At 38.3% G+C, this 12,776-nt stretch overlaps 1 protein-coding gene across 18 annotated transcripts in view; it reads left to right on the top strand.

Annotated features, from left to right (window-relative positions):
* BRAF (B-Raf proto-oncogene, serine/threonine kinase) overlaps positions 1 to 12,776 on the top strand; it is a 211,602-nt gene that overhangs the window by 1,565 nt on the left and 197,261 nt on the right. The window lies entirely within an intron of this gene.

Genomic DNA, 12,776 nt, shown 5'->3' with positions numbered 1-12,776 from the left:
TTTATTATGCTTTACAAATAAGATATGGTATAATAATTGTGGTTTACAGTTATTGATTAGGTAATGTGACTTACTCTGTTGACTTTGCTCGAAGTTCTCTTTGCTACTTACTATTAACATCTAATTTCTCAATTCTCATAACATCTCATTCTCTCTGCAATTTTTTTTTTGCATCATCATCTTTGGAAATTCATCCAATATGCTTGCTTTATTCAGCATCAGCTTGTTTATGATAATGTTTGTTTTCTACTCTTTATATCATCTTTGTTACATGCCCAAAATGTGTTCTGTACCATCATTTGATCTGTTCTAAAATTTCTCATTTTTAAGTTTCTTAAAATCATTCCACTTTTCAGTATGCATTTTTGCTTAGATCAGTTTCCTCTCATATCTGTTCCTTTCCCCCAGCTTCTTGATTTCTAAGGAGAAAGCTCTTCTCTACTTCAATTTCCTAGTTTATTCTGTTTCCCTTGTTTCCAGTTACCATTCATTTTGCCTTGTTTCCTGGCTTTTGGTACTTAACTTTCTGAAGCTTCCTCTTTTCTTCTCCACACCTCCACGTTCCTTCTTATTTATAAACATCTTTGTTTCCTTTGACATGGAAATTTATTTTTAGGATACATTGTTTTTAATGGATAAATACTAGGGGTCACATCTGCTGTCTGTTTTCTCCAGGAATCGGATATGCCTTTGTCTTAACCAGGCACAGGTGCCTCTGGATTTTATTTTACTCTGTAATAGATGTGTAGTTTTGTTGAATTGTATCTTGTTTGAAGACTACTACAGAGTGGAACAATGAGTGAAGTAATAAGTAGGGGTTATGAAATTGTAATTCTCTGATTATAAAATTGTTTATCTTGGGAACTTTGCTGCAGAGTTATTAGAACCGTTTGCAATTCTGTAAAGAAGGCTTTTGTGAAGTAAAATCTCTACCCTTCTATTTTATTTGAAAGGGCCAGATTGTTTGGAACTGTACCCCCTGAAGAGTCTGATTTAGTAAGTGAGAGCGAGGGCCATGGATTTCTGTATTTGGCACATGTCTTGAGCAGTTCCCATGTACCAATCCTTGAGAACCTCTAGGCTAGCTGAATTTAAGTATAAATTGCCAGTAATTGGAAAGCATATTCATATCTTCTGAAACTATAAGGATACTCTCATTTTACTTGGTTAAAAAACAAGTGTTTCCTACTGTCCTCTTTACCCAGGTTTTAATGTTTAGTGGTGAACAGTAGTTTTCCCTCTACATTTTTTTCTGAACTGATAATAAATGTATTTGGCTGGGAGGGTGACATTGATTAAAAAATGTATCTCTTGAATGTAAATATCAGTATTACAGATGATAAAATAAATTCCTCCAAGAAATAATTTTAAATTTGAAGTTGATATTCAGTGGAAACTGAAATGTGCTGTGGTCTTTTATTTGAAGTCTTCCTTACATTCACTTAAAGGGATCTTTTACTGCAAATTACATGGAAAGAATGAAAAGGTTTGCTTGTGTGTAATGACACATTTTATTCTGAAGATTTATTTTACCTAACAGTAAAATGTAGGTTTTTTTTTTTTAAATAAAAGTTTCCCAGAGGGAAATTTCATCTAAAAAAAAAGTCTGATTTCAAAGGGAAAGCAAGTCATTATCAAAAATTAGAAAACTATAAGTACAAAAAGTAAAAAATCATCAGTAATTTTGCCACTAAGATATTATTACTATAGACATTTTGGTGTATTCCATCTGTTCTTTTTTAATGCTTTTATAACACTATGTAGTTTTGTATTTTAAAAAACTTAAAGCAAAAATTTCTACGTATTATTAGACATACTGTGATTTATTTAACTAATCATTTTTTTGGGGTGTTAGGTTGTTTTTAATTTTTTACTGCCATCAAACATCTTGAACATAGGATGTAGATTTTAGTCTTTAAAATATGTTGGGGAATGAACAAATTTCACATCCTGTATTTGTAGTATTAATACTTTGTAGGTGCTCAAAATAGAATATTCTGGTAAATGATTAGTGCTTATTAAATATTTATCAAATGAATGTACTTGTACTTTTGGCATTAAACATTAACATCTGACCATTTATATTTACCTGATTTTTTTTCTATGGCCATATGGTATGAAATAGTGTATGGTATAAATTAACCATATGGTATAATAAATACATTTTTTTAAGTGTGATACCAGAGTGATATTTATTAACTGTTCTTCCTGTGCTGTTTCTGTAGAAGGGAGCTTCTCACAATTGCATTAGAATTACAATTTTATTATGTTCTGTTTTCAAGATCTCTGATCGTCAGTCTTAAACTGTTTAATTATAATAATGTATTGACTAGGGAATATTCTGGGATATAATCTCCTTTATAATGAGGTCCACTGTATTAAAATACATCTTTGCAAGCCACACCAGGTTGGATTGCATCATAACCCTGAAAAGTGGTATTCTCATTAATGCAGGTGCTTGTGCAGTTTTGGCTATTGCTGTTAATACTTATACAGATATATTCACAGGTGCCCTTGTGGCAAAAATCATAAAATAGTTGTTTGTCTTTGGTATTTCTAGTGTTCACTTTCTATATTCTTTTCTCTCTCCTTATTTACTGAACTCCCTTCTTTAGGCATCCACTCACTCCTTTTTCTGTTTAGAATATTATCTGTCAGTCATTTTATATGTTGGCCATTAAAGGAATAAACTGTCAGTAAACAGCTAAGAAAGGAATGTTGGACTGGGTGCTTGAATCCTTGAATGTAGTAAATGTGAGTGCAAACTTGATTTAATTGTACATGTATTTGGATAATAGGCCAGAAAAATTACATTAGGGTAACAGGCTAGAACAGTCTGACTTTTCTTGTTTTTCTATCCCTTGCTTTCTTGATTAGAATGAATAGGAGGTGGGTCTGGATATAGCAGCTGGAAACCTGTGTTCCATGAGTGATGGGGAAGAGAGGGAGGGAATAGGTTCCTCTGATTTTTGGCATTTTCTAAGACCTGATGCCCACCTTGTCAGAGAATGCGATGACTACTTTTGTGTTCTTCCTTTTCCCTTTTTCTCCCAATTATAAAATTGTTTTCTCTTTCAGAACTGCAGAAGTGCATTTTGTTTCTTTGACACTTTGATGTTGTTAATTTAGCTGAATACCTAGTGAACATTTTGTGTCATAATCCCCTTGTTTTATGAAATCCAGTATGGTCTAGTCACCTTACATTTCTGCCTCATATTGTCCTTAAGCCTTTTTTTGTCAGTAGCTCTTACTAGATTTTGTCTTCATCAGAAGTTAAAGTGTTTTAAGTCCTTTACTCATTCTGTTTCTCTATTTTAACTTACATTGGTTATTCTGTAAAGTCAGATGTGGCAGTAGGGCTGGTCGTGGTGGCTCACACCTGTAGTCCCAGCTACTTGGGAAGCTGAGATGGGAGCATCACTTGAGCCCTGAAGTTCGAGGCTGCAGTGAGCCATGATCGCACCACTGCACTCTAGCCTGGCAACAGAGTGAGACCCTGCCTCAAAACAAACAAACAAACAAACAAAAAAAAAACAAAAAAACTTGCTTGTAGAACTTCTGAATTCAAAATAGGTGGGCCTATTTGGGAGCTTTTCTGTTTTTAAGGTGTCAAGTACTGCTTTTTAAAATCATAAGGTTATGGATAACTTCATGTTAGTGTAAGAAGAAAAATATAGCCTCATTTGTTCCATTTCTTTCTTAAATTTTTTGTTTTCATTGCCATGTTTTTATTTTTCGATTTCAATTTTTCCAGCCTAAATCACTAACATACTTAATTAGCATGGTAATCAGAAGATACTCTTTAATACAGTCTCCACCCTAACATTAAGCAATTATTTTTCCCCCCTACCCTCTGAGATTATTTTTGTGTCCATGTTTTCTCTTGGGCTTAAAAAAAAAAACTATTATTCTAATTCCTTCCTGTATCAAGACTATGCATATAGAGGGAACTCAATGCCCAGTAACTTCTTTTTCTGGGCCCTGGTGATGTAGAATATAAAAATTGCTTTGAACTCAATTAACTTTATATCTTCTGGAAGCTCTGTAACATCGGATAAAGCGTCGTTTTCATTCTTGTAATGTAGCTGCAGTTCCTGACAGCACGTTTGGGACAAATGTACTGTGGGACGGTGGTTTTCAAAGTACGCCAGAGCTCTAGGAGAATTTTTCGAAAACATTCTATCATTGTAAATAATAATTTTTTTTTTTTTTTTTTTTGAGACGGAGTCTCGCTCTGTCTCGCAGACTGGAGTGCAGTGGCGCGATCTCAGCTCACTGCAAGCTCTGCCTCCCGGGTTCACGCCTTTCTGCCTTTCTCCTGCCTCAGCCTCCCCAGTAGCTGGGACTACAGGCGCCTGCCACCACGCCCAGCTAATTTTTTGTATTTTTAGTAGAGACGGGGTTTCACCGTGTTGGCCAGGATGGTCTCAATCTCCTGACCTCGTGATCTGCCCGCCTCAGCCTCCCAAAGTGCTGGGATTACAGGCGTGAGCCACCACACCTGGCCAGAATAAAAATTCCAAATTGCACTAATGCATATGTGAAACTGTTTTTGTCTGTTTTGTAGTTTTAAAATCTTCATCTATAATAGTACCTGGCACATAGGTACTAAAATATTTGGTGAAAGAATTAGTGAATAAAACCTTACTGGATATGAGGTGATCTGATTTTCTGTAACATTCTATTCTTTTTTTCTGCCGGTCACAAAATCACCTTATGAAATTGACAGCCAAATTGGCTGCAACAGGCAGTTTGAAAAACACTGTTTTGGGGTTTCAAGGACCTTCTTCAGAGGTTACCCCAGGGCTCTGTTTAGTGCCTCTATACCAGGGGCCCCCAACCCCTGGGCCACAGCCTCGTATCTACCAGTCCGTGACCTGTTAGGAACCTGACTACACCGCAGGAGGTGAGTGGCAGGCAAGTGAGCATTACCGCCAAAGCTCCACCTCCTGTCAGATCAGCGGCAGGAGCGTGAACCCTATCAGAAACTGTGCATGTGAGGGATCTAGATTGTGTGCTTCTTGTGAGAATCTAATGCCTGATGATCTGAGGTGGAACAATTTCATCCTGAAACCCCCTCTACCCCTGTCCATGGAAAAATTGTCTTCCATGAAATTGGTCACTGGTCCCAAAAAGGTTGGGGAGTGCTGCCCTATACCATAACTATTGAAGTTCTTCATTTATCTGCTTTACATGTTAGTTTCCTTGAAAAAAGGGTTTTATGGCTGTAAAAATTTTAGAGCTACTATGTATGGAAGAGAGGTTTGTGCTGGCATAAATCTTCTCAGGTATCATCTGTGTAGAAAATTTCAACAACTTGTGTCTTAAGGCAGAGGTCAGCAATCTTAAGGGTCAGATGGCAAATATTTTAGGCATTGTGGGACATACAGTTCCTCTCACAATTCCTCAACAATACTGTAGTAGCTCAGAAGTAGCTAATAGACAATATTTAAACAAATGAGTTTGACTCTGTTCCAGTAGTCATTTTCAGGACACTGAAATTTGAATTTCATATCATTTTCATGTGTCATGAAAATCTTCTTTTGATTTTTTTTCTACCACTTAAACATGTAAAAAGTATTCTTAGCTTGTGAGCTATACAAAAGCAGATAGTGGGCCAGTTCATGGGCTGAACTGTTCTGACTCCTGGTCTAAGGGAGACTATATATGTTATATTTGAGGTTCTCAAAGTAAGATGTAGGTTAGAGGTCTATAGAAAGTTCATAATTGCTTTTGTAAAAACTAGATTGATTTATTTGAGAGGGAGAGAGAGGTGGAGTTTCACTGTATTGCCCAGGCTGGACTTGAACTCTGGGCTCAAGCAATCTTCCAGCCTCAGCCTCCCAAGTAGCTAGGACTACAGGCATGCACCAAGCCCAGCTCCTAGTTCCTCTTTGCACTCAGTTTCATCTTCTACCCTCAGCCCCTGGCAAACACTGGTCTGATCTCTGTGCCCTTTCCAGAAAGTCATATAAATGGAGTCATATAAAAGTCATATCAGTGGGGCCGGGCATGGTGGCTCACACCTGTAATTTCAGCACTTTGGGAGGCTGAGGAGGGCAGATCACCTGAGGTCAGGAGTTTGAGACTGGCCTGGCCAACATGGTGAAACCCCCTCTCTACTAAAAATACAAAAATTAGCCGAGCATGGTGGTGGGCACCTGCAATCCCAGCTACCTGGGAGGCTGAGGCAGGAGAAACACTTGAACCCGGGAGAGGGAGGTTGTAGTGAGCCGAGATCGCGTCATTGCACTCCAGCAATTGTGAAGCAGTGGTTAAGGTTCATTCATTATTTTACATATGGATGTCCAGTTGTTTCACATTTATCAAATTTCTTTTGAATCACCTTGGCACTTTTATTGAAATCAATTGCTTATGTTTGTGAGTTTTGGATTCTACTGTTTTATTGATCTGTGTGTGTTTTCTTAGGCTAATACCCCACTACCTTAGTTATGATAGCTTTATAGTTAAATTTAAAATCAGGTAGGTCCAGTTGAGAAGATTTTTAGAACTTTGACTTTTTAATTTCTTGTTACCATACTTTTGGAAGGAGAAGACTCATAATTTTATTCAGGTTTTCAAAGGTGTCTTCTACCCCCAAATACTTAAGACTTCAGTATATAGTTAATATATCTCTGTCTTGAATTATGTGGTGGTGAGGTTCATGAAAAGTGACAGGTAAAAGTTGCAACCAAAATTAATTTCCTTATAAGAAAGGACATATTTTAGTAGGTTGCACAGAAAAGTCAATCACGTCCTTTTTACCGTGTTGCATTATGAGGTGTAATCAAAATGTGTATAGGGGAAAATGAATATGTTAAGATGTTTATTCACCAAAAAAAGTCACCGAAAGTGTCAATTAGGTTGTGAAAGATACTAGTTTACAATGTGTTATTCTCCATCTTCATTAGAAGAGTTCTTCCATTTGAAACCTATGTCATGTTCTGTGATATTTCAGAGTTAGTATCTTTATGAATCTTAGGGGCATCATTAAATCATTATGTTTCTTCTAAGGAAAGGCATATGGTAGTAGTTGGTCATATTTCTACCTTTTTCAGTGGGGCCTATAGGGCCCCTTTACTTTGTTTTAAACTGCACTGATAGCTTTTTACTGGTTAGCCCAGGGAATTATCCCTACAGTGTAAAATGATGTTTCTCATCATGATTTTCATTTAATAATTTAAAAACAAAATAACAGGAAACACATGTTTCTAGAGAGGAAGTGTGGAATACCTGACTAGTAGAGGGTCAGGTGACAATTGCGAAGGTAGAAACTGACTAAGTTTTGACCATGTTGCAAGGAGTATCGTTCCAGTTTTGTTGGGTCACCTTGCAGAGTTTTTAAAAAAAATCCTTGGGTTTTTTTTGTTTGTTTGTTTGTTTGTTTTGGTAGAGATGCTGTGTTGCTCAGGCTAGTCTCGAAATCCTGGGCTCAAGCAGTCCTTCCCAGAGTGCTGGGATTACAGGCATGAGCCACCGCACCCAGCATCACCTTGCCGATTTTGAAACTACACTTCCAGGGAGAGAGTAATACAATATCTTGGCAGACTATTTTTAACTATTGTTCCAAAATTAATCTGTTTTTAAAAAGTAAAGAAGTGTGGATATCTTTAAAAGATACTTTAATTAGGCTGGTCACGGTGGCTCATGCCTGTAATCCCAGCACTTTGGGAGGCCAGGATGGGTGGATCACCTGAGGTCAGGAGTTCGAGACCAACCTGACCAACATGGAGACACTCCGTCTCTACTAAAAATGCAAAAAATTAGCCGGGCATGGTGGCGCATGTCTGTAATCCCAGCTACTTGGGAGGCTGAGGCAGGAGAATTGCTTGAACCTGGGAGGCGGAGGTTGCAGTGAGCCGATATTGCGCCATTGCACTCCAGCCTGGGCAACAAGAGTGAGGGAAACTCCGTGTCAAAAAAAAAAAAAAAGATACTTTAATTATATTTAAGTTGGGGAATACTTTTGTTTTATATTTTTTCTTGCACTAAATATGTAACCTTTAAGTTAATAACACCAGAAAATTTTTACTTTATAGTTTTAGAACTGCTTAATTGAAATAAAATGTTAGGATACTTTGAATTAGTCACTTATTTTGGCATATTTTAAACAGTTTAATGTACTGCTTGGGGTTGTTTCTCAATTGACTTGATATTTTTAAACTGTATTTTTTACCTTGTACCATTTATTTTGCAAAATAAATTTCTATTTTGGCTTATAGATGTATTTTTAATATTAAAGGGGATTATTGGTGTCAGCCATAAAATTGTAATTAAGTCTTAAGTAGGTATGGTTTTTTTTTTTTTTTTTTTTTGGAGACGGAGTCTCGCTCTATCATCCATGCTGGAGTGCAGTGGTGTGATCTCGGCTCATTGCAACCTCCGCCCCCCCCCCCCCCCGGGTTCAAGTGATTCTCCTGCCTCAGCCTCCAGAGTAGCTGGCACTACAGGCGCATGCCACCATGCCCGGCTAATTTTTTTGTATTTTTGGTAGAGATGGGATTTCACCATGTTAGCTAGGATGGTCTCGATCTCCTGACCTCATGATCCGTCCGCCTCAGCCTCCCAAAGTGCTGGGATTACAGGCATGAGCCACCGTGCCTGGCTGATTATTTTTATAGAGCTCTTGTTAGCGTAATTTCTGGTAATGTTTTATGGAGGTGACTTAATTCCCATCATAAAAATATCCCATCTTTTCTGTGACTAGCAAGCAGTTATTGCCTTTATAACTTTTTTTTACCATAAAAAGATAAAGTACTATTGATAATTACTCCTAATTAACTCAGAACTTTTTTGTTTTACACACATTAATATATACTTCCATGGGAATAGTGTCAGAGAACATCAAATAGGGAAGAGATTATGATTCAGAGTGGTCTTTATATTCCTATTCTAGAGCCACAGAAAATGTTCATCTCCCTTTAGTTTTTGCAGGATTGCCTCTAACACTGATGATATTCCACTCATATTCTTCCTGCACATGCCTTCTCATACTAACAGTAAGTCACACAATCTCAAATAAGTTTCATTATACATGAGAACTCAGTTGAATGCTTGCCTTTCACTGGCATCTCTTGATCCTCCTCCCCCTCCTTATGGTATGCACTGAACTTCTAGTAGGCCATATGTGTTAAGTAGATCATAGGAGTGCTATGAAAATAAAGTGAAATGATGAATATGTAAAAGCCTTCACAAAATTATAGTAGTGTTTTCTGTTGATTTTTAAGACAAAAGATAAATACTATGTATGTAAAAATTTCCTTTCAGAAATCTTTGTTCTTTTTTTTGTTTTGAATGTTCAATATGCTTAGCACAGGGCTCTAGTTAACACTTTTGGCAGTTCTTAATGTGGGACTGACTGATGATTGTCCTAGAACTGTTTCAGTGTTAACTACATTCTATTAATGTTACTTTAAAACATTATTTAATTAAAGAAACATGAAGTGGCAACATACTGATTCATGTGTTCAGTAAGCAATTCATGGGAAAGAGGTAAGCTTTCTTAATAACAGTAGAAAGACTGTTCCATTTATAGGAAAACTGGTAATTATGACTTGTGTTTTGGTATTTAAAAGCTGTGGTTGGCCGGGCGCAGTGGCTCACGCCTGTAATCCCAGCACTTTGAAAGGCCCTGGCGGGTGGATCATGAGGTCAGGAGATTGAGACCATCCTGGCCAACATGGTGAAACCCCGTCTCTACTAAATATACAAAAAATTAGCTGGGCCTGGTGGCATGTGCCTGTAATCCCAGCTACTCTGGAGGCTGAGGCAAGAGAATCGCTTCAATCAGGGAGTCGGAGGTTGCAGTGAGCCAAGATCGCGCCACTGCACTCCAGCCTGGCTACAGAGCGAGACTCTGTCTCACAAAAAAAAAAAAAAAAAAAAAAAAAAAAAAGCTGTGATTAACATTTGCTTTGTCATTCATCCAAAACTACATTGGTGACTTTTGTATTGAGTCATTTCTTAGGGCAACAGGTATTCATGTATTCAGTAAATATTTGAGTGCCTACTATATGCCAGGTAGTGATCTAGGTGCTTAGTAGTACACTTGAAAACAAAACAAAGGTCTCTACCCTTATGTAGCTGCTGTCCAGTGGAGGGGTGTGTGTGTATTGGGGGATGGGGCTGAGAAACCTTAGACATACAGAAAGGAAATTATGTAGTATGTTCAAAGGTAATAAGTGCTGTGGAGCAATGAAAGTTAAACAGTTTAGGGCTGGGATGGGGGTAGGTAGCAATTTAAATAGGGAGGTCAGGGTAGGCCTCACTTGAGAAGGGGGTATTTGAACAAAAATTTGAGAAAGGAGGAGGAGGCATTTCAGATAAACCAATTAGTTCAAAGATTCTGTGTCGGGAATGTGCCTTGCCTATTTAAGAAACAGCAGGAGGCCAAAGTTGCTGGGGCAAGGTAGAGACTAGGGGATTAGGGAAGGATCTCTTTCAGTTATCTAGGCCATATTGGTGATAGCAGAAATACTGAGAAGTAGTCAGATTTTGGATGTTTTGAAAGTAGATTCATCGGGGCTTGGTGGCTCACGCCTGTAATCCCAGCACTTTGGGAGGCCGAGGCGGGCAGATCACCCGAGGTGAGGAGTTCGAGACCAGCCTGACCAACATGGTGAAACCCTGTCTCTACTAAAAATACAAAAATTAGGTGAAATATTGAAGGAGATGTTTTGATTGAAGTGATTTTAAGAGAGAAGAGGAGGGGAAGTAAAGATGGTGAGGAATTATCCTGTAAAGGGGAACAGAGAAATGGGGCCAGAGCTAGTGAGGAAAGTGGGGTCAATAAATTTTTAATGATAAGAAAAAGAAGAGCGTATGATGATAGGAATGAGCCATTAGAGAGTAAAACGTTTCAGGAGGGAGAGAGAAGAATTGCTGAAGCACTGTCTTAGAAGAGGTAAGAGGGAAAGGGATTTAGTGTATAAATAGGAAGGATTGGCTTTCTATAGGAGCATCTATACTTTATGATAATAGGCCATTAAGCAGAGTATGTGGTTAGAAATGCTGCTAGGAAGGTCGACGTGATTGGTGGAGTCTGTACACGTTCTGTTGCAGTTGCTTTGGTTTTTTTCAGTGAAGTAAGACTTGAGGTTATCAGCCGAGAATGAGGATTGGGGATATGTGAAAGTAGCTCCGCAGCAGTATGGGAGCATAAATGAACTGGAGACAAATAGTAAAATTAATGGGCAATTTTTTTTCCTTTAAGAGATGGGGGTCTCACTCTGCTACCCAGGCTGGGGTGCAGTGGCACAGTCATAGCTCACTGCAGCCTCCAACTCCTGGGCTCAAGTGATTTTCTCACCTCAGCTTCCCGAGTAGCCAGGACTATAGGCTAATGGCAATATTAAGTTATTTTATGAGTTGTCTAGACAGCATTATGAGTCTCCTAACTTTTTGGTACTGATCTTCAGATCAGAGTTAAATGTAACTTGCCCAGGCAATTTAAACACTCAATATGAGTCATTTTCATTTGGACTCAAACATGGAATCATTGGGAAATAGAACATGAATTTATTACTCCTTAATGAAGTACCTGCCACTATCCTGCCATGAATGTAGGCTAAATTTGGAGTGGTCTGGTAACTGCTTTTCTTTTAAAAAAATTTTCTTCATCTTTTCTGTATCAAATACTTACTGGTTTTTCTATGTAGAATAACATAATCTCATCATTACTTTCTTTCAAACACTCTCCAAATTTGACTTGTCTTTGCTCATGTTTTTCCTACCACCTGAAATACAGATTTCCTCCCCCATCCCACCCTCCAAACCTTCCAGACTTACCTCACCTACCGTTTATTGTAGGAAGCTTTTCTTAACCTCTTTCCAAGTCCTAGTTTGATGCCTCTGCTTTGTGCTTTTGTAGAATCCCAGAGTTTACCTTGTTTTACTCACTATATCGTATTGTGGGGTTTTTTTGTTAATAGGTATTTCTTTTTCCTCTAGACCTGCACTGTTCAGTCATACTTTCTGTGATGATGGAAATGTTCAGTGTCGTCTTAATATGGTAGACAGTAGCCGTATCTATGTGGCTACTGTGCACTTCAAATTTGCATAGCAGGACTGAGGAACTAAATTTTATTTCATTTTAATTAATTTAAAAATAACTAGCCTGATGGCTAGTGGCTGCTTTAATCAGTGCAGTTCTAGACCCCTTCAAAGTCAAGAGTGTGTGGGATTCATACTTATTCTCTCGTTGCTTAACAATAATACTGTCTAATACTTAAATGACTGAATTCTTTTTCGGTACTCTTAGTCTGCATAGTTATAACTCACCTAGAATATGGCAGTTTTGTTCTCTAGATTTCTGTCTTTAACCATGGCTTTTCAGTTTGTTTTCAAGATTATGTTGATTTACACAGCACTGAGTTCTTCAGTCCTGCGAAGTTAGCGTTTTGGTTGGATGTGGTGGCTGGCATCTGTAATCCCAGCAATATGGGAGGCTGAGGCGGGACGACTGCTTGAAGCCAGGACTTTGAGATCAGCCTGGGCAACATAGCGAGCCCCTGTCTCTACAAAAAATTAGCTGAGTGTGGTGGCATCCACATGTAGTCCCAGCTACTTGGGAGGCTGAGGGCGGGAGGATTGCTTGAACCCAGTTCACGGCTGCAGTGAGCTATGATCACACCACTGCACTCCTGCCTGGGTGACAGAGCAGGAGTCACCCTCTCAAAAAAAAAGTGTATTTTTTCCCCTTTAGGACTGAAAAAATTGGGTGTTACAAGATTACCTCAAGGACTGGTCTGAGAACTGGGGATGGTAAGGAAGAAACT

Source organism: Homo sapiens, chromosome 7 (genome assembly GCF_000001405.40).
Source record: "Homo sapiens chromosome 7, GRCh38.p14 Primary Assembly".
NCBI lineage: Eukaryota > Metazoa > Chordata > Mammalia > Primates > Hominidae > Homo > Homo sapiens.
The sequence above is the reverse complement of the archived record's forward strand: the minus strand, read 5'-3'. Positions and strand labels throughout refer to the sequence as shown.